General features: G+C 43.3%; 1 protein-coding gene across 11 annotated transcripts in view; it reads right to left on the bottom strand.

Annotated features, from left to right (window-relative positions):
- SLC8A3 (solute carrier family 8 member A3) overlaps positions 1-22,995 on the bottom strand; it is a 145,191-nt gene that overhangs the window by 117,745 nt on the left and 4,451 nt on the right. For 10 of the 11 annotated variants that reach the window (NR_104122.2, XM_047431711.1, NM_001438069.1 and 7 more), the window contains exon 2: positions 4,680-6,525. Coding sequence is in view for 10 of the 11 variants with exons in the window: in XM_047431711.1 (XP_047287667.1) it covers positions 4,680-6,463 (1,784 nt within the window). In the remaining variant the exon portion in view is untranslated. Of the gene's footprint in view, positions 1-229; positions 4,552-4,679; positions 6,526-22,995 lie in introns of those variants that run through there. The other variant, XM_017021610.2, reaches the window with a different exon arrangement.

Genomic DNA, 22,995 nt, shown 5'->3' on the forward strand with positions numbered 1-22,995 from the left:
CACTGCCTAAAAGATGTTCCAACTATGCCTGTCACCTTTTCTCAATTCAGATAGAGAAAGACTTTTTAAAAAATTTCCGTGGGCTATTTTCCTTCCTGAACAGTTCAAGGTGAAACAAGAGATTAAAACTAGTCCATAATATATTATTATTCTTAGTTAAGACATTAGTCACATAATACTCCCGGACTCACACTTCCAGAGCATCTTTTACCCAAGAATTGCCATATTCTTTTTGAAGTTAACATTTTATTGATGGATAAAAGTAAAATGGAGAAGCCTAAGATGGGAAAGGGCAGAGAGAACATTGAATAAGCAGCTTCTAAAGTCCTTTCAAACCCTCACTTTCTAACGTCCTTTCCAACTCTAACTTTCTATCATAGCTAGCCATGTAATCTTGGATAAGTTACCTTCCCTTTCTGAATTTCATCTTCATAATTTAAAAAATGGGAGGTCAGATACCTTCGAGCTTTAACATTCTGATTTGGTTGGAGAACGTGCAGCACAGCCAACATGCTTTTTTTCTTTGAAGGAGGCCTGCACTATTTAATTATAATAGATCTTGGCATTTACATATTTGACATCTGTGGCTTTGACTATTCCCAGAGGCATCAAAGGTCCAAGAGCTGCAATAATCTGTTATTTTGCAAAGGCGTGCTGAGAGCCTGGGATATAGGAGCCAGTCACTTGTTTAATGAGTGAAATTAGTGTGCGGGCAGAACCCATACCTCTGTGAGGTTTTGTCATTGCATGCTACAGTCTTAAAGGCCATAATTCTCAAGAAGTGACTATAGTGATGGTTGCAAAGGTGAGGATTCTTCTGGATCATGAAGACATCAATAATATCCCTCTTAAATGTTAAGGTTTCATTGTAATATGGATGTAAATTAATCATGTACCTATCCCCACTTCACCTCTGTCACTACTAAGTCCTTAATGAAGGTTAATTTAGAATCCTCAGTGGTACCACACACATTGCAGGGAGCTCTCATTGCTCCTTTATTCAATCCATCTCAGCCATACCACTTCTCTCACGTTCCTTGATTTGTCTGTACCCTTTGATCCTCTCCACTTGACAGTAAGATCCTTGAGCGCTGAAATGTCAGCTTGTCTTATTCACTTATTTAACCCCAGTGCCTAGTAATGTAGCTAGTACATAGCAAATATCTAACAAATGTTTGTTGAATGACTGAACACCATCTACGAGAAGGCACTGTGCATTTTTCTCATACTTATATTTAGTATTCCCTTGAAGGATAGAGAATATTATTTCTGTTGTCCAACAAAAACCTGGTACTCAGAAAAGTGATGTGACTTGTTAAAAGTTACTGGTAAGTGATGGATTCACATCTGCTTTCATATTCCAAAGCTCGTGCTTTTCCATTCTTCCATGCTGCTAAAAGCACCTTTGAAGAAGTAAAGCATAAAACCAAACATGTGAATTCGTGGATCCTATATTATTGATAGAGCACAGGCCTGGCCTCAACTTGATTATATTTAGGGGAGTATAGTGAGGGCAGATTTTCAATACTACCAGGCTTGGTAGGCAAATAAAGCTATACAAAGAGGGAGAGATTAGAAAGCAGATGTTCCAACTTTGTCCAAGTACCCTGAAGCTATCCATTTCGGTTTCCAGACTGGTGTGGCAATTAGCACAGCCTCTGGTTCTTGCTAAATTGGCGTTGAAAGTTGGAATTAAAGAGCAAACAATCATTATTCAATTAAGCAAGTTGTCTGAAAAACCACTTCTTTGCTGGGTCTCCTGGTTTGGTCAAGAGCTTCAGAACCTTTCACCTCTAAGTTGGGGCCCGCAGCATCCAGAACTTGTTAGAAATGCGGAATCTCAATCCCTCCCCTAGACCTCCTGGATCCTAATCTGCCCTTCAGTGAGATCCCTGGATGATTGAGCAACACATTAAAATTTAAGAACCATGACTGCAGAAGATATTCTAAGGTCCTTTCTAGCTCTAATATTTTATGAGTTTAGGTAAGTACTCTTCATAGTAACCCCAAACTGGCATGCTCATTACTTAGGGTCACACAAAGAGCCAAGTAACCTAAACAACTCCACAGTGTCTTCTGAAGAATATTGTTAATTCGTCAATATTACTATGAAGAGTCTTGTTTCCTGAGCATATACCGTGTACCAGGTACACCGCATACAATACCTTGAATCGTCATAATGGCCCTGCAAGAGAGATATTATTATCCCCATTTTGCCAATGAGGAAATAATTTCATAGGTTAATAAAATTTCCCCAAACTACATTATTAAATCAGTAGTGGAGCCAGAATCCTAACCCAGAGTACTTAGAACCCACGATTTTTCTGCTCCGTAATACTGCCTCTAGTTGTAAAATTGCAATTTAAAATATCAAGAATAGGGGTGCCACGTGAGAACAGATGAGCAGGTTTTGGACTCATTATTCTGCAATGAATGAAGTCTAAAAAATAAATGAAAAGGGATGGATGGGAACATAGATTTGTTCACCAAACCCTAGAATATCTAGACCAGAATTCTCAAGGTTGACATACCTTTAGAATGAGTATTACCCAGAAGTGATCATTTGCGAGGCTCATTTGCACCAAGATATTATACAAACTGAAAACGCAAATAAGTTTGAGGAAGGTTTAGTCGTATTCAGAGACCCTAGGTGCATAATTGATTATTAATAGAATGAGGAAATTAATAGAATGAACTAAGCCTCTGATCTCTGAAAAACTACCTATCCGTGACATGGGTAGAAAGGGTTCTGAATCAGAAGAACCACAAGTCCGTCAAATTATGGCAAATTTTGTGGTCTTAATGTCATTTAATGCCTTACCATATCTTCTTCCACACTGACATCGCGATAATCATGTGAAATTCCATGGAGTTTGTTTTCCCAGTGAAGCCCTGTCCTTCATTTGTATGTATAAACACTCTCCCCAGAGTACATATAAATGGATAGTATTCTCCAGAAGGCACAGGTTTCTACTTACGTTAACAAATGATTATCCTTCCCAGCAAAATGACTAAACAGAGCTCTAATAAATCAATTTGTCAATGGCCATTTCCCTTCAGGAGACAATATCCCCTGATCCATTTTTGGCAAGTGCGAATATGACCTACACTGAGTGCTTATGTCTATGGTTCAGAAAATCTTAGAGCTGGAAGGAACTGCAAAAAGGACTGACCTTGCCTCCAGGCAAGGAAAGTATTGTTATTCCCAGTTTGCATATCAGAAAGTTAAGTTCCAGAACCAATAAATGACCTGCCCCAAGTCACATTATTAAGAAGGGATTGAGTAAGAACAGATGCAGGATCCCCCGGGTCACTCAGTTCTGTCACCAGCAGTGCCCAGCTCTTTTTGAGCTCTGTCTCATGGCTGGACCTGGGCAGAAGCACTCCTAGGACACCTCTCCCTAGCTTCTATGGCTCCCCACTTTTCCATGAGTTCCTTCCTCCTCCTCTTCTAGAGGTTGTATGGCTTCATTTCTTACTGAAGGTATAATTAGCAGGTTCTTGAAACAGACACCCCACACACACAACTTCCTATATGCTCCTTTTACTCTTCACACCATCTCCTGCCACGCTTATTATTTGTGGATATGTTCAGTCATTCAGAGGAAGTTCCCGTTTGTCTTCTCCAACCTTCTAGGCCACCCAAGAAAGTCTACTTTCTCATAAGCTACAAATCCTGAGGAAAGTCATTCTGCTTTCCCTTTTAAAGCTATCCAACTGGAAAAAGGACAGAATAACCAATTTGCAAGAGGGTTCAATGGGCAGAGGCCTTAGGGTAATAGAGGTGACAGAAGTGTAATACCCACAGTTTCTGAAGGGCTGAATGGGGCAGTAGCCCAAGAAGAGGTACTTCAGGAGAGTCCTAGACTGTGAAAAGAGAGGACCACACAGAAGATATATTTCCTCCCACAATTCCTAGGATGTTTCTCCTTCACTGCTTCACCAGATTTTGGAGCTTAGACCTGTGACTAAAGACAAGTAGCCACTGCCCTGGGAGCTCTGCTTCTCCAAGATACTTTCCAGTATCCAAACCATACTGACTCAATTCAACTAGGCTGGGCAAGCCTCACACCATTAAATAGTCTATGGTCATTTAAAAAGATTGCTAAATTTCTATCAATTTTGCAATTTCCAAATTAAAGAAGACGTGCCTGGAATCTGGTTACACAGTGAGACTGGCAATATAGTACCAGGGAACAAAGCCAATGCCACTTGTTTTCTTTAGAATGTTCTGATGGGCTATTGCTGCCCAGAATGGAAAGGATTGGTTTCAAAGCTCATAGATACCCTTCATATGAGGAAGGGAGGAAGAAGAGGCCCAAGCAGTTCTCTAGTCCTTCTTAGTCACAAGAATTCTCCAAAATCTGATATCACAAAACTTCTGTCATCCCACAGCTCCACCAGCTATCATTTTGTGTTTCAGAGAAGAAAATGTTTTGTGTCCTTAGCTCTTGTCACAGGATTCCTTGCCCAGAAACAATTTAAAGTGAGAAAACTGAAGAAGAGTTTGGAAGCAGAACCTGTCCAGTGGTGTCTGCTGATCCTGCATACCTGTGATGGAACCAAAGTTTGACATTAACACAAACACAAGGAAATGTTGTAAAGTGCAGTACAGAAAGACAGAAAGAGATGGCAAAAGATGGGGTCAGGGAGGGGCAGAATACAGGAAGGTTACTTACACAGTTTCATCATTCTTGAATTCCAACTCCCCATATGTGTCTTCAAAGTCCTCACCGCCACCCTTGGCTGTCCCTTCTACTGTCCTAAAGGGGACGATGACTGTACCCCGGGCACCTGATGTCCGCAGAACCTTGACCTCCATAACACCAATACTCTCACTGACATGAATAGTATCACATTCAAAAGTGAAGATGCCTGCATGGTCATCATCCAAGATGGTAACTGTGGCCACACAAGGGGAGGCTAGGACAGCCCGAGGCAAGGGAAGACTGTTGAATATTGCTGGAGGCATCCCCTCCTCTGGCTGCTCCTCCTCTATGCGGACATTGCTCAACCTTACAAAGAAGTGTTCATCCTCCTCAAAAATGTCGTCATCAATTATGCCCACGGAGAACTCCTTCTGGGTCTCTCCTGGCTTCAGAACCACCGTGCCCTCTGTGAACTCATAGTCAGCCCCTGCATTGGCAGAACCATCCTCTGTTTTGTAGTCCACATACATGGTCTTTGACATGTCTCCCCCTTTCCTCACCACTGTCAGGAGTACAGCCCCACAGTTCTCCAGGCACTGGTAAGAACATGGGTCAAAGAAGACCTTGGAAATAAAGTCCTCAGGCTCATCGGTGTGCACCTCGCTCATGCTGGAGGCCTTCTTGGCTTGTTCTGCTGCATGTTTCTTCAGGATATTGCCTGCACCAGTCATCATACGAGTGGCTTGGATACGGTAGAAGGCACGGCTCTTCTGTTGGTGGGAAAGAGCATAGTAATTGGCCATCTCCACCAGCTGATCTAAGTCCTTCTCTGGGTGTTTTTGCTTCAGATCCTTGAGAATCCGGATCATCTCTCTGCGGGACTCATCCACTTCCTTCCCTTCCAGGGGCACCAGGTTCCCATCTAGAAAATGGGAATTCATCATTTTCCCATCCATCTCAATGCCCTTAGGGTGGTCACCCTCTGTCTCTATGATAATTCCTCGGTGTTTGTCTGTGCGGTACTTTTTGTGCATGTATTTGTAGAAGAGCAGTCGTTTATCTGCCACCCAGGCCAGAAGGACACACACTGGAAAGAAGAAGAGAGTGAGGAGGCCTTCCCAAACCTGGACCACACCAGGGGAGAAGACTGCCAGAATCATATAGAGCCAGATGTAGGCAAAGATACTCCAAGCAGCGGTGATGAAGAAGACTCGTAGATGCTTGATCTTGCGAGTCTCTCCGTCTGGGATCACGTAGACACAGATGCCAATGATGATGAACATGTTGAAGGCTGCACTCCCTACAATGGTAGAAGGTCCCAGATCACCAGCAATGAACCCATGACCACACACCTCAATTAAAGAGAGGAGTATCTCAGGAGCAGAGGAACCCAGGGCCATAAGGGTCAGGTTGGAGACAGTTTCATTCCAGACCCGAATAGTGGTTGTGCTGGTTTCTCCATTGGGTTTCTTAATTGTCACCTCCCTCTCTTGAGAGGTGATGACTTCAATAGATGCCATGAAGCGGTCAGCAATGATGGACACCCCAAGGAACATGTATATCAGGGCCACAAAATAGACAATGACCCTGGCAATCTTGTCCCCAAGGGAAGGGTTCTCCGGGTACCAGATTGGCAGGATGACACCCTCCTTGCAGTCCGATGACCCTGAACAGGACTCATTGTTCTGCCCTGTGCTTGGCACGTCCCCTGAGCCACCAGCCTCTGCTCGAAGACCATTCAGGAAGAGCACAAAGGTAACCAGCCCAAAATGGAGGAAGGCAGAGGTGAGAGGCTGCAACCTTAACCACGCCATACACGAGACTTAGCCACTGGCTTCTATTGCAGCACCAGTTGTCCTCCTGATAGGCCAGAGACCTAGAAAAGATCAGAGAGGCAGGAAAAGGCATGAGGAAAAAGGGGACAGCAAACGGCAGGTTCCCACCAATACAACTGATGCTTCACCTCCAGTGACATATTGCACTAACATATGGGGCAGTCTCTCACTTGGAAAAATAGATGTCAATGGGAGGCACAAATAGCTGCTCTGTCCTCCAAACCATCTGGTGGAGACTCCGTTGAAAAATGGCTTGAAATAGCTGGGAATACTGGGGATGGAAATGCAGCAATAGCCTTCAAGTCCTGTCTCCCAAACTGGTATTACCTGTGAGAGTTCTCAAGAAGCAACTTAAAATAGGCCATGTATAACCTGAATCTTCATGCCCATTTATACTGTTTCTGGGGTGTTCGGACTTCCTTACCCTGTTGTCATTATACTTGAGTATCTTGGATAACATAGGTTTGCAAGAGAGTATATTGAATTGAATTTTCATGGACTAGTCCCCAGAAAATTGAAAACCTTGCTCTGTTTAATGTATACATATTTCCTTGGCCTTCATGTTCACTCCAGGATTATACCAAGTGACTGTCCACCCCAGGACCTTTGTACATGCCATTATTCTCAATCGATTTTGAAATGAGTGTTTCTTCTTTGCACTCCCCACTCTTAATAATGCTTTAGATCTCATCCATTAAACAGAGCAATAAACCTTGAAAACTGAGCTCCCTTGGAAAGAAACTTCCTCCCCGAATGCAAGACTTCTGGAGGCAAGCTATAATTCTGAGATAGCTTGGGAAATCAAAAGAGTTGATAAATGGTGAATGCCACCCACCCCATAGCCAAACAGAGGCCATGTAAGTTGTGCCCAAGACCAAGTTCACAGCAGCTCTGAGCCCTCCAGTAAAACCTGCTTATGAGCAGTTTAAGCAGGCAGTAACAGGAAGATGATCATCCGCCAGCCACTCAAATTTCAAACCCAAACATGGAAAGGAACAAGTGGTAAAAATCATTATTAATAAAACATGCAAATGTCTCTCAAATAAGTTTTGTTAAACTAGAGACAAGATTTTGGGGGTGATATGCAGCTTCATCTACTGGCCTCAAACCACTAAAAGGTGAGCTTGAGCTCAGAAGAATGGGATGAAATGCAATTGAAACTATTATATACTCATCTTACCACTCACTGCCTCATTTGGGTGGGATGAGAATGAAAATACCATGGAATAGCTAAAAAAAAAAAAAAGTGGGGGGGGGGGCGATCTTTCTCCCTCTGCTACAACTGTGTGGGATACCCTTAGTAATAAAGGAATGCTGATTTGTGTTTGTACAGCACCTTAAAGACTCAAAGTCTTCATCCCCCATATTTGCTCCTTTTTCTCCTGTTTCCCAGCTCAGAAAATAGCATCTTCAGCCACCCAGTTACTCATGTTAGAAAGCAGATGTTAGTCTGAAAGCCTTCATCTCTCTTCTGTCCCTTATCCAATCACTAAATCCTATCAACTCTTTCTCCATTTCTACCACCATCATCCCAGCCCAGGCCACCATCACTCCTTACCTCATGAATCTACTTCAGTAGCCTCCTAATGGAGCTCACCACTCCAACTCTCACTAGTTCTCAATTCCACTTTCCTCATATAGCCACCGTAATCTTTTTTTAAAAAAACAAACAAACAGACTTAAGCATATCGCTCCCCTGTTTGAAGCCCTTTAGTAGTCTTCTCTTGCTCTTGATATAAAGACCAAATTCTTTCCCATGACCTTCAAAGCCTTGCAGGAATTCACTGCTTCCCACTCATCCCCCTTCATCCCGTCACTCTCTCCCTTATTACATTTCAACAACAATAGCCTTCAGGTTCACTCTTGGATTATACCAAGTGACTGTCCACCCCAGGACCTTTGTACATGCCATTATTCTCATTCATCTTTGAAATGAGGGTTTCTTCTTTGCACTCCCCACTCTTAATAATGCTTTAGATCTCATCCAATAAACAGTGAATGACATAAGAGCAAAGACTGTGTCTCTTCTGTTTATCATGGTATCCTGAATGGTTAGTAGGTTCTCAGTAACTGTATGTTTTTGGAATGAATAAATGTAGTCACCAATGAAGCTTCCTTGGATGACAGCCTTCTTTATTTTTTATCTGAATTGTAGCCATTTGCTTTGGAAATACATATACATTTCATAGACAAAACCAGACTGGATTTTAGAGGCTATGTGGGACCTCTTTAAATTTCCAAAGCCTGTGCTCAAAGAGAAATTCTCTTCGGGACACAAAACATCAGGGTGCATATTGTCCCCATGAAGACCTCCCTCCCAAAGAGCTGAGGATTTACTTGGTTTAATCCCTAGAGTGGCAGCCAAGTTCTGAAGCCCACATTCTCCATTAGTCCAGGTGCTGGGGGCATCACAACAGGTGCTGGGACCTGTTGTGCCTTTGACCTCACTCAGAGGAGAAGAGGTTATGGGAATGACTGTGGAGGAATAGAGTGGTTGAAGATGTTCAGCATCCATCTTCAAAGGTTAAGAAAGCTCTTGTCATCAATGATGTGCACAAAGGCATTCATTCAGAGGTTTGACACTCACCCACCCTAGAGAAATGTGGAGAGAAAAGGACCTTGGCTCTTTACTTTGACCTCTGAAAACCCTGACACTTTGTGGATTCCAATGAGCCCCATGCAGCGATGACAGATGGTAGGCACAGCTGAGTAGCTCTTTCTTCAAGTGCCAACCCAGTGACAGGAGGTGGCTGCTATGAGAGCCAACCAATCCCAAGAGGGTGAGTATCCATGGGGGAGAGAAGAGAGCCGGTCTTCCAGAGTGAAAGGACATGGAACATTGGGATGGTAGAATCATCCTGATTAACAGGGGACTTGGAGTCGTATTTATCTTATGGACCAGGAGAATTAAGGAGGATGACGGTCTTTGTTTTCCTTTGGCCCTGTAGACGCTTTGTGGCAACAGGTTTTTCTGGGCAATGTGCTATCATATGATCAGAATCAGAGGCCAGTTTAAAAAGACTATTCCATGAGAAAATAAATGAACTGAAGGAAAAGATTAAAGAAAAAAGGCAAGGCCTGGCTCAGTGTCTCACACCTGTAATCCCAGCACTTTGGAAGGTTGAGACAGGTGGATCACTTGAGGTCAGGAGTTCAAGGCCAGCCTGACCAACATGGCAAAACCCCATCTCTACTAAAAATACAAAATTAGCTGGGCGTGGTGGTGCACGCCTATAATCCCAGCTACTTGGGAGGCTGAGGCAAAAGAATGGCTTGAACTCAGGAGGCTGAGGTTGCAGTGAGCCAAGATCGCGCCATTGCACTCCCACCCGGGCAACAAGAGTGAAACTCCGTCTCAAAAACAAAAAAAGAAAAAGAAAAGGCAAGGCGGTGAGATGGCTAGTAAATGCAGGCACCCAGTTTTTGAAATTGAAGGTGGAAAATGCCCTGTGAATGCCTAGTTCCTCTTTGCAGCCCTGCCAGGAAATGGTTTCTGGCTGAGATGTTAGAGAAAGCAGGAACATCTCTAATGACCAAGCCAGTCGTCATTTTTTATGCAATTGCCCCGGCCCAGACACCAATTGAGATAGATCCCAACATCTTGGGGGTCCAGCTCAACCCCTTAGAGACCCAGATAATCTTCTGTGGTTCCAGAAGGCTATTAACCCCGAGGCATACTCAGAGATATGACTCAACTTGAGATCTTTTCCCCCACCCAGGACCACCCCAAATCATAAAGACATTAATAACAGTAATTCGCATCTACAAGTGTTTATTATTTGCATAATGCTGAGTGCTTTCTCACTTAATTTTCATAGCAACCCTATGAGGTTAGAAATATTTTTATCCCTATCTTATATTTTGGGAAACTGAGTCTTACCTAAGTCATTTACTCAAAGTACAAAGGAAATAGTAGAACTAGAATTCACAGACAGATGACATAAAGTATGGTTTTAACCACCCTATTTTACTAAGCTGTCCCACTTTGTTGTAGAATGTCCACGGCCTCCAATCAGTTTCCAGTCTTATGTGGACTTAGAAGCAAGGTGACTGTCCCACACCTGCTCAGAGGAGAAACTTACTGTTTCGATGCCTAGTTCCCAGGCTTACTGGGGTTGTTCTGGCTGCCTGCTGCAGCCTCCCATCCAAATATTCTTCCCATCAGTTCAGTTTGACAAACATTGACAAAAGCCTGTGATTTGCTAGACCTGGTATTAGACGCTGGTGGATTAAAAAAGAAAAAAAAAAAAAAGAGAGACACCGCGTTTGCCCTCAAAGGTACAATCTAGCAGAAGTATACAGATGTACAAATAAACACTTTTATTGTAAAAAGAGGAGGTAGGGCAGAATGCTATGAGAATGTGAAGAGGGCACTGAGCCAGCCTGGGGATTCAGGGAGGCATTCTGAAGGAGGTGATTCCTGAAATGAGACTTCAAGCATGAGTGAGCTTTAGTCAAAAAAAAGGAAAGTGGGAAGGGCATTCAAGTCAAAGAGAACAGCCCAGGCAAAGGCAAAGACATGGAAACATGATGGAAAAGGCTGCTGTGGGCGTGGGATTACAAGACATGCAGTGTGAGGCAGGAGGCCCAGTAGATGAGGCTAGACAGTAGGGAAGACTTCACTCATGGCAAGCTTTAGATGCCAAGCTGAGAAGACAGGGTTTTATTCTAAGGGCAATGAAAAGCCAGTGATAGGGTTGTAAACCAAAGAATGACATGGTATGATTCGTCTTTCAGAAATACCAATTTCACCTAAGGGTTTAGGATGGCTGTAAGTGGGCAAGACAGGAGCAGGAAGGTCAGATAGAACTCTACTGCAAACTGAACAGATACAGACAAGCATGGTGGGCCTGGGTAGATTCTGCTCATGATGCCCGTCTGTCCCCATGTCACACTCCCCTCTCTCAGTCAAACTGATGCCCTGGCTCAGCCCCGAGCCTCTCATCCCTTTTCCGGACCATCTTCCTAACGCCTCTGAGGCCATCTGCAAGGCGTCTGTGTCCTTAGCAGTGGCTCCTGACATCTTTTAATATCACTGGCAAATTTAATTAAAGTCACCGTTCCTCCGCTCTTCCAGATCATTAATAAAACAGTGCCACCAGGACAGACTGAGCAAATTCTCCCTCCTGCTATGCCCTCCACTTTCTCCAATGGGAACACTGCTCCGGGCATGTCACCAGCCTGGGTAGAGTTGTCCCACTCTGCTTCTAAATCTGGGCCCCTGCACAGGTGTCATAGCCAATTTACATAAAAGTTTTAGGTCCAGCCAGGCTGCACTGGCTCCGTTGTGTCACCCGAGTCCAAGCACACTGCATATTCTCCTGCACTTCCTCTGCCTCCGGTGGGTGGAAGTCAGTGCAGTCCTGTCCTCGGCAATACTCCTCGAGAGACACAGGAATGAAGCTCCTGACTCTCTCAAGAGTAGGAAAGATGTGACCTCTGCTGCTTAGGTAGCTTGATTGCCACAACTGGAACTTGTATCCAAGGAGGAAAATATAATGATATTAAATGTTTTTCTTGCATTATTAATGTTTTGAATCTTCACAATGAAGGAGGTGCTATTATCACCACACTTGTTTTAGAGATGGCAAATTGGAACTCATAGAGGTTAGGGAATTTGCCTAAGACCCCAGTTAGTAAACAGAAAGGTAAGCATTTGAATTCTGGCAGTCCACCTCCAGGACACATGCTGTTACCACTGTGCTTGACACATACCCTAGGTTTGAGCGCCCCTTCGAGCAAAGGCTCAAGGAGGGCAGGCTGAGTCTTTCTAGATGTGGAGGCCCCCGACAAGCTTGGAAGCTCTACATACAGGCAGAATGGATCCATGGTAGAGCCCTGGATTTGAAAATGGACAAGAACTTCCTTTCCAGCCTCGCCTCAATGAGGTGTGAGACCTTGGGAAGTCAGTGACCCTCTTAGGGCAGCAGCTTCCTCATCCATAAAATGCAGGTTGGGTTAGATGATCGCTATAGTTCCTTCCAGTCAAACATGCTTTGATGACAGGAAAGGAAAGAAGTGAAGGGACACATTTTATGTTAGATGGGCCCAGAGCCACGTGAAAGCCAGGTGTGGAATTTAGACTCCCACAGAGACCTCAGAGGATAAGAGAATAAGCTAGGAGGGGGTGGTAGGAAGAGGGGACCAGGGAAAAGTCAAGGAGAGCCTACATTCTGGATTTACCAAAAAGCCCCTTGGACCAAATCCGTTTTTTTTTTGTTTTTTTTTTTTTTTTTTTTTTTTTTTTGCCTATTAAGGCCAAACACTGTGCTAGCAATTGCAGGTACAGCCATGAACCACTTCTCCAACCTCTGAGAGTTTATTTTCTGATGAGGGGTGGAGACAAACAAGTAATTATTGGAATAATTGATTACAACTATGTCTTGGAAAGTAATATGATTTTCTTCTGCTGCTCTAAGCGCTCAGGTTGGTGGCTCTACGGATGCCTCAACCCGTGTGGGCAGTGGCTGCACTGCAGCAGGGCTTTTAATGTAGAGAATGTTGCAGTCGTATGTGAGATAATATTATACTGTTCTTGCTTCTCTGATCTCATGCAATTGTCATATTTTGCCTTCTCTGAAGTCTCTCAGACCTTTAATGACTTCTGAACCGTCTGACAGTTTCATGAAACCCTGCTGACACTCTCCCAGGTACTACTACAGAAGAAGAGAAAAGAAAGCTTCCTAGACAGACCAGGGCATCAGCAGGCCTCCGTCTCCTCATTCTTTATATGGACCAAGGACTTTAAAAAAGTGATGACAACAGCAATGATCATATATATTCATCAGGCACCTACTCTATAGCCAGCACTACTCTAGGCACTTTTATATCTGTTATTTAATACCTCACAAACCCACCATGAGACATGTCTTGTTATCTGTTTTAGAAATGAGGAGATAGGGGCCTCAAAGATTCATAATTTACCCAAGGTCTACCAGCTGAGCAAGTGGCAAAGAGGGGCTATGAAACTTGGTGTGTCAAATGCTAAAGTCTGCTTTTAAGCTCCAGGAGATGAAAGGGATGGTGGAAGAGTAGGCTAGGGATCAAGATCCCTTAGGTGAAGAACTTTGGGCTCCAGAAAGTTCTGTGTCTTCTGGGAAGCCTTCCCCGAAAATGCATCTTCCTCTAATTGTAAAGTGAGTCATTTATTCTCTTGGGTTCCTCTAACACTTTGGTCATCCCTGAAGCACTTGTCACACTGTACTGGGCTTATCTGTTTACCTATCCATCTTCCACACTCTTCTGGAAGCTCTATGAAAAATTTCAAGTCAATATAGGGAAGCTTTTTTTTTTCTTTTTTTTTTTTTTTGAGAGGCAGTTTCACTCTGTCACCCAGGCTGGAGTGTAGTGGCGCAATCTCGGCTCACCGCAACCTCCGCCTCCCAGGATCAAGCGATTCTCCTGCCTCAGCCTCCCAAGTAGTTGGGATTACAGGTGTGCACCACCACATCTGGCTAATTTTTGTATTTTTAATAGAGGCATGATTTCACCATGTTAGCCAGGTTGGTCTCGAACTCCTGACCTCAAGTGATCCGCCCACCTCACCCTCCCAAAGGGGAAGCTTTTTTGTTTGTAAAAATGCATCATCACACTCTGTGAAACTCTATTGATAGGACTAAGAGGTTGAACTTGACCTCTGATAACCCTCTCTACCTCTAAAATTCTGTGATTCAAAGATGCCTGAAATGTGCTAGACTTGTGTAAACCAGAGGACTTTGCCCTCTCCAAATCCTTGACAGATCTGGGGAGTTACAAACACTGAGAGTGGGCCAGAGAGCTAGGAAGAGACAGGGCTTAGCTCAGCTTAATTTAAGTTTTGTTTTTCCCATGGCTGGGTCTACATCTGCGTTTAAGTCATCCTCCTGTTGGAGACAGTGATGGAACCAGGATCACATTCTAGAGATGGCTGTACATCTGAATAACCATGGAGTTCTAAAAAATACAGACATCTAGATCCTACTCCAGACCTAAGTTTTGAACTCTCTGGGAGAGGAGCCTAAATACTTATGTTTTTGAAAAGTTCTTTTATTGATTTTAAGATACAGACAAGGTTGAAAATCCTGGGAGAGAAGAGAAGGAACCTCACCTGACTATGACATTTGCATCCCAGGTATTCCAGCCATTAGAGACTTTCTTTGGACTGAGAGAAGGACTCATAGCAGATCATGCGTTGACGCACAAATGGGTACCACAAGACATTTCTATGCGCTGGACAAACATCTCACCTTCTTGAAGTCTCATTTCCTTTCATACCTTGCCAAGAATAGTCAGCATCAATTCTCTACCCACATAAGCAGATTTTCCCTTTATCTTTCCCTAAACTTGCTGTCTACTTGGTTTATACTTGTACTCATGAAATATAAAAAATCCATAATTCTCTTGTCTTTGTAGGAAAATGATGCTATTCGTCCATTTTCAGCAAGTTGTATTTCTAATTATTTTTCCTTTCACTGATAATAGCTTAGGTCTACTTCTTCACACTTCCTCATGGCCTCTTTGTTCATTCACTCACTTACTCATTTATTCATTCATGCATGCATGCATTTATGCATTTGTATGAAACCCAGCTTATGTGTCACAGGCTGACTTTCACTGAATTATGCTGAGAAGGTTAATTTGTTCCAAACTCATTTTTTTCCACACACTCAAAAAAGTTATAAGTTCCAAGAGGGTAGAAATTTTTATCTGATATTTCTGTATGCCCAGTGCCTAAATCAGTGCCTGGCATATCACAGATGCTCAGTATATATTTATTGAATGAAGGAGTACATGGAATGAATGTGCAAAAATAGAAGGGATAATATCCAGTGAGTTCTCCCATCTTTGGCAGTGTTCAACTTGGAGGCTGGAGAACCATCTGTCAGGGATGCTGTGAGCAAGGTTTTCTGAATTTGAGTAATATGAACAAAATATAATCCCTCTAGAGAAGCACACACTTCACTGGAGAACAGTGACAGAAAACCAAATAATTACACCAAAACAACTACCAGATTTTGAAGCATGTGCAAAGTGCCAAGAGATCACAAGAAAGGAAGGTATAGTACCTCTTGGGATCACTGGGGCCAGCTGCATGAACCAGCTAACATTAGATCTAGGATTTAAAGAATGAACAGGAGTTAATTGGGTGGAAGACAGTGCATCTCAAACAAAGGCCACAGGAATCCCATGCTAAAGGGCATGGAAGCCCGAACAAGCAGCGTCTGTTTCCAGAAGGATGAGCAGTATGGCTGAAAGACTTGAGAGAAGCTGTGGAGATAAGTGAGGAATCGCTGGTAAGAGGCCTTGTGTGCCTGGCCAAGGAATGTGGGCATTCTCTTGGAGGCAATAAGGAAGCACTGAAGGTTTTTAATCATAGGAGGGACAAGATCAATGTTTTTCTTTTGGATAGGCAACCTAGAGTGATGACAGTGTGGGAACAGGATAGGTGAATGAAAGCGGGGCAAGACTGGCGGCAGGAAGACCAGTCCAGACTCTCCCAGGACTGGGATGAGAGGCAATGGAGAACTGAACCAAGGCAGTGGGAAAAGGGCTGCTGGGGAAGGCATGGATTTCAGAGGCACTGAAAGGAGAATCCATGTAAGTTGGAGACCAATAGAAACAGAAGATGATGGTGAAGAGGAATGAAGAGGCCTAGCAAGGACCATACCACATCAGGCCCCTTCCTCCACTGGCCCTGCAAAGTTCATCCCGATCCTGAGATCTCCAGGCCCCAAGAAATGAAAGCTGAAGGAATCAACACAAAACCATCCAACTTAGATATCTTCTTAGCTTTAGGACTTCCTGTAACTGTGGGACAAATGGAACCCAATCAAGGCCTTAGAGTGTTCCTCAGTCTAGTCAAGGGAATAACCATTTGTGGATTCAATAGACCAGACTGTGATAAGCTCTGAAGATGCACTGATGAAGCAGGTCTGGTTCCCCCTCGGGAGTGACACACAGAAAGGTATATGAGATCAGTATCTAAGTGTAAGCAAAGGGTTTGGGGACTTATGAACACTGCCTAAAGGTTATGGAGTCAGACATCTCAGATCTGTTTCAAATGACCGCAGTTTCACACAGGATAAAATGAACCCATGGAACATATTGCTCCTAAGAAAAAATGCTAGCTAGAAGGATAAGAATTATGTGTAAAAAACCCAAAATATTGAGATTAACTTCAAGGTAATCTAGAGTGGCTACAAGAAAGCATGATGCTGTTCATTGATTCATGAACGAAAGTATTGGTCGAGTACTTACTATGTGCCCATCACAGTTGTAGGTTCTTTGAAGATCATTTCTGCCTGGATGCATTCTCAAATTTATTGAGTGCCAAATGTGTGTCACATTCCATTCTAGCTGCTGGAGATTTAATATTTAATATTACATCTCTCACCTGGACTACTGCAACAGCTGCCAACCTTGCTCCACCCCTTATAATCTACTCTCCACAAAACAGCCGGAAAGTCTCTTTAAAATGTAAATCAGATAGATCATGCAATTCTTTGTATCCTCTCTCTTTCTGTGGCACCCCACCCCCTACTGACTTCTCATCTAGCTTCTAACTTGCTGACCTTTCAAATCTCCTACCATTTTGTTTTGCTCCACCCATACTCCACTCCAACTCAGATGAAATACTTTGAAGTTTCTAGAACAGGCAAGCATGTGTCTTAGGACTTTTGCATCTACTGTTCTCTCTACTTGAAACAACCTTACCCTAAATATCCACATAGGTCACTTTTAGATTTCATTCAGGCCTTAGATGCCCCCTCTCTGAGAGGCTTTCCCCCGCCCATCTTATCTAAAGGCAATCTCCCCCTCCAGTACTCTCTTGTAACATCACTTTTCGTTTTCTTTACAGCCCATATTCACTTGATGAAATCATCATTGTTTTTGTTTGCTTTTTTACTAGTTTATCATAGAATATATACTCCATAGTAGCAGGAATCTGGTCCCTTTTGTTCACCACAGTATTCCCAGTGCCTTGGCTAGTGCTGGCAGAGGGAGTACTCAGTAAGTATTTGCTGAGTGGATGCAAAATGACTCTACAGGAGTTTTCATTAAGTGATTCTGGAAAGATGCATCTAGGAAGAGACTTCAAACTTCCTGGCAAGCCTTAGGGTAGAGAGGTATATGGTTAAAGCCAATGACCTCAGAGTTCAGAGAGTTTTGTTCATTCTCAAGAACCAATGGGACCACATAGTGTTTGGACAGAAGTCGTGAGTCTAATTCTAAACACGGCCCCTTCTCCCAGTCTTAGTCCTCTCATTAGCACCTCACTTTTCCTTCAGAGTATGGCATAATGATAATCAGCATTTATACTGCATCATTCATTCAATAAATATTAAACAATGCTATGTGCCAGGGGTTTACAAAGAACTTCTCACTCACAGGATCTTATTTAATCCTTCTTATGAGGATGATCATACAGAAGAAGAAATTGGGGCTCATTTATTGCTGAGTGTTGCTATGCCAATAAATAATGGAGCCAGAACCAAACCTTCGTGCTGTGAATGCCAGAGGTCTCCTTTCAGCAGGCTGAAGGAGTGTGTCATGTCGGGAAGGACCAAGAGGAAGCATCCCCTGCAACTGAAAGGAAGTCAGGGCTGGAGTCAAAGGAGCAAGAATCCCAGGGCAGCCTGAGGCCGACATCGTTCCTGCCCTTCCCTGTTGCCAAGAGAGAACCACCTGGGCTCTATCTTCTGAGGTTACCCATGGGGGAGGCTGACATCCTTCTGCCCTGTTGCAAAGCCATCAAGGGATGCTGGTGATCAGCCTCCTTTATGTACATATTTCTCAGGCTATTCTCCAGAAGCCAGATGTATTTTAATGCCATTTAATTTATTTTAATTTTTTAAATGTTGAAATATGGAATTAAATCATATCATTGCCTGATTGAAGAACAAATAAAACCTGGCGAGCAGTCAAAGTCATCTCTCTGAGACAAGTCTGGGTAGTTCTTTTGTATAATTAACTCTAGGGATGCTCTGGGTCCTCCTATTACAAGGGGGTGCTAGGAGCAGATTCCTCAGACTCCCAGCAGATCTAGCTACTACCTTCACAGATGTGCTCTTCCATAATGATTTCCCCTTGAGGTTGATTCCTCTATTAGTTTCTTTTCAGGGGCTAAAAGGCATTGGCTCAAGAGGATTCTTCCTGTCTCACTGGGGAGAGAGTACAGTGGTATGTTTGGGGTAGGTGGAGCATCTAGAAAGCCACTGAGCAGAGTGGTTTTACTAGACTCTCAACAGAATCTACATGGCTCTAAACACATCTTTTCTGGGGGCTCTATGAAAGGCAGAAGTGCAGGAGTTGAGATAGGATGTCTGGAACATTTGGGAGCCTAGAGCACTACTAGTCATTCTGCGAATGCCCTAGAATACTGCAGTGGGAGCTGACTGGTGGCTGCACATTGAGGAGTGCCAACCTGGGGCCCTTGAGGCACTCTAACCAGTTTAGGGCACCTTACTGGCTGGACAGCTGAGTTGACTGGCCAAGTTGATCTCTAGAGACTCAATGTGATAACAGATACACTAGAGGCTTCAAGTTACAGCTGGAAGGTCCTGAAATGAAAGATACAGTCAGCACTAAAAGTATTCTTAGCAGGAGACAATCTGTATGCTATGAAACAAGACTCACAGAATACAGAATTGTCAGGTCAGGGAGGAGCATAAAAGTCAACACATCCAACACAAACTCTTTTGATGGATAAGGAATCCAAGGCCCAGAGAACAGAGGTGAGTCTTACCTGTGGTTGTCAGAAGTGATAAGAATTAGAACATAACCTTTTATCACCAATTCATTGCCTCCTCTATGACACCATTTTCCTGTCCCTGGTTTGAATTTTGACTCCACCACTGTCTTATTTTAGGAAATAGTATAGATCCCCTTTCTTGACCTTGTTTCACCTGCTTCATGGGTGAGGGAGTATATTCATTTATTCACTCCATTTTTTCATTGAACACCTACTGTATTTCAGGCATCATGTGACATAGAGTGGGAGACAGAAAAAGCACTTGCTCCAGGAGGGATGGTAAGCCACACGCAAAAAAAAAAAAAAAAGTGCATTTCAGAAAGTGTAAAGGGCTAATGAAAAACAGATGTCACATTATTAAAATTCACAGGAGGAAGGGACAGCTTCTCCATAAAGCCTTCCCATCAGGCAGAGGCATTTGAATTGAACACTGAAGAACAAGGACAAGTCTTAGGGGAAGGTAAACTGTGAACAAATGCACAAAAGCAGAAAGGGCAAGGAAACTGTAAAAAGTGAGGCTAGATATGGAGTGGGGCACCAGCTCATACAGGGCCTTGAATACAAGGAACTGCAAAAAATGGAATGCCCTTCAAAGTTTTTTGTGCAGAAAAATGATAAGTTTACAAGGGCATTTTAGGAGGTGAATCTTGTAACTGATGAAAATGAATTGAAAGAGGAAAAGGTTGAAGTTGGGAAGATGGCAGAAAGCTGTTTTTTACAGTATAATAATAGTAAGTACTTCGTACAGTCATGGTAAGGATTAAATGGGAAAATCAACGTAAAGCACTTTGCAACAGAGTAGCTGACAGATGGTAAACACACACACATTATTATTATTTTTATACAAGAGGTGATAAAATCTGCACTTGGGTAGTGGTGTTTGGGATGAAGAAGAGGGGCATGGGCTTATAAAATACATCAAGCAATACTTGGGGAACAAGGGAGAGGAGTTCAAATATAAACTTGGAGGTTTCGAGCCAGGGTGACTGGAAGTTTGTTGGTGCCATCAAGAGAAAGTGGGAAGTCAGGAGGAGAAGCTCCTAAGGACAAAGATGATGTCAGGTTAGTAAAAATTCAGGAGGAGTTAACAGGACATCTTGTTGGAGATACTGTGCACACGGCTGGAAACAAGACACCCAGCTTGGAGAGCTAGAGTCACAGACTCTGGGAACTATCCACACTGCAGTAACAGCACAAACCATTCAGGGAGACTGCCAAGGGATAATGGAGAAAGGAAAAATTGGGAGAGAGGAGAGAATCTTGGAGTGGAAGTGGAAGAGGGGCCATGTAGAGGTAGTGAGACCTAGAGAGCTCTGTGTGAAAGAAGCTGAAAGAGGAAAGACTTAAGGAGCTAATGGTCAATATTATCTGGTGCAGGGAGAGAGAGAGAGAAAGAGGGAGGACAGCGGGCAGCTCTTTGGAATAAGTCATTATATTTTGGGGAATGAGCAGTCCTTGTTGGATGAGACTTGGGGAGAAGGTGGAGAAAAGTGGGAAGTGAGTGGATGAGTGATGAGAAAATAGGGACAAATGATTAAAATCTCAAGAGTTTGTTGAAGGCATGATGGGGAAAGAGTATAATGGGGAAAAGGAATTAGAGAAGTGATATTCTTTTTAAGATGGAGTTTGTGGAGGGAGAGGATTCTGTGTTGAAGAAGAAAGACACTTCAGATAAGAGATGGAACTGGGGCAGTTTACCAAAGTAAGGCAAGGGTGAGCTCCTGGGCACTGTGCAGGAAATGAAGGGTTTTGTTTCTGTTCGTTTGTTTTTCACTCTAAGATTAGTGACAGGGAAGGATGAGGAACCCAGTGGAGAAATCAGGGTGCAAAGGAAGAATGCTGACGAAGCTCACACTGTTTGGTTTCATTCTTTTGGACTTCGAGGTCCTCTCCTGTCTAGTTATTTGGAAATTATCACATGGAAGCCATGGCAGGAGCACAGCTTTTGGTCCTACTTCCAGATCTAGTCCCCACATGACCCAGCATTCCTGCACACAACTAGGAAAGCCCTATTTGTCCTTCCAAATATCAAGGCAGTAAATGCTATTTGGTCTGTTCCAAATTACATATAGATGAAACAGAGCTGTTTTCTTCTTATTAGATATGATTCTGTATGCCATATCCAAGTACCCTGGATTCTAGAATTAGCTTTTATTCACTCACCATATTATTTTTAAATACTCACGTACATACACATGTGAGTCTCCTGTCTAGATGTCTTGCTCTATAGTCTCCATGGACCTAAATTCTAACCCTTCCAGGCTCCTTCTTCAGGCCTGTCTCAGCCTTCACGGATCTCTCCATCTCAAATCTTTGAGAGTTTGCTTTGCTCTGCAGTTCAGTTGGCCAGGAAATATGTCTCACACTCTGTGGAGCCCTTTCTCTTTTCCCCTAAGGCATCTGCCCAGTGTTGAGTTTAGAGGGCCCATTCAAAACACAAATGGACAACCAAACATAAACCAATCTCATTAGAGAAAATTAGTTAAACTTTTTCCTAGAAGGGTATCTCTGGTTTGTCTGGAGACCTAATTAGGGAAAAGAGGTCAGGCTGGCAGGACCAGAGGAAAGCAAAAAGAGAAAGCAGATAAGCTATAAGTCTGCCTGTTTTCATGGTCCAGGACACATAGCCCTCCTGTGCAAATAATTCACAATCTTCCTGTACCCAGCTATCACCAGACCATCGGCTGATAGAAAAGTGCAAGTTAACTCACTGCAACCTTGGCATTATCAGTGCTGCACATAGCTTTCTCCAGCACAAGCTCCATCCTATAAAGCCCCCAGCAAGCCTTTGTCTCCTTGCAGTCAGCTCTTTCTTCTCTTGCTGACCTGCCTGTTGCTTCACTGCAATCTATCTTCACATGTTCTCTAATAAATCTGCCTTTTATTTTCTTTTTTACCTACAACTGTCTTGGTAAATTCTTTTTACCTCCCACGCGACATTGGCCCCAAATAGTCGCTACCCATGAGAGTCTGTACATTGAAACAGAAAGAAGAAACCCCCGCCCTCACCTTCATAGACTGCCGGGACCATACACCTGGGTTTCTATACAGCTTCCTCTTTACCTTCCTCTCTCTCCCACTTTCCAGTTTCAGTATACTATCTAAAATGCAAGTCTGACCTTTCAAATCAGTAGTCAACATTTTCCTAACCCCGTGCTGGAAACTCAGTGGAAATTCTTAGCATGGAGTACAAGCCCTTTAAGGTTTGACCCTATGCCTTCTCCACACTCAACTCCCCACTGCATTTTAATCTCTGTCTTCAGTCATTTGAAAGAGCTCTTATCCATGTTAGGTCTTTACATATGAATCCCTTCACTCATAACACTTTCTCCCTCCACTCTCCTCTCCTCTTTACTTCCTCTCCTCTTTTCTTTCACCAAAGCTAACTCCTACCTATCCTCCCTTTCTGGGCTTAGCTGTCCCTACAAGTCCTCATTAAGCCCATAGGAAGAGGTGCTCCTCCTATATGCTTCCATTATCATGGGGTTTACCCTCTACTGGCATAAATCACTTTATACAGTAATTGTCCATTCACTAGCTGGTTATCCTTGCTGGAATGTGTGTTTATGAGGAAAGAGGCCATTCTATTTTATTTGCCTCTGTACTTAGCACATGCCTGTCAGAGTAGGTGGCTGTTGAATATTTATTGCATCAATGGCTAGCTGAATGAATAAATGAATGCTTTTTCTTTTGGAGTTCAATGTTTTTCTGAGCCTCAGCACGTATTTGAACCTCTTAGGCAAAGCAACCAGGCTTAAGTGAAGGGGGTTATTCCTTTCTT

Source organism: Homo sapiens, chromosome 14, assembly GCF_000001405.40.
Source record: "Homo sapiens chromosome 14, GRCh38.p14 Primary Assembly".
Classification (NCBI taxonomy): Eukaryota; Metazoa; Chordata; class Mammalia; order Primates; family Hominidae; genus Homo; species Homo sapiens.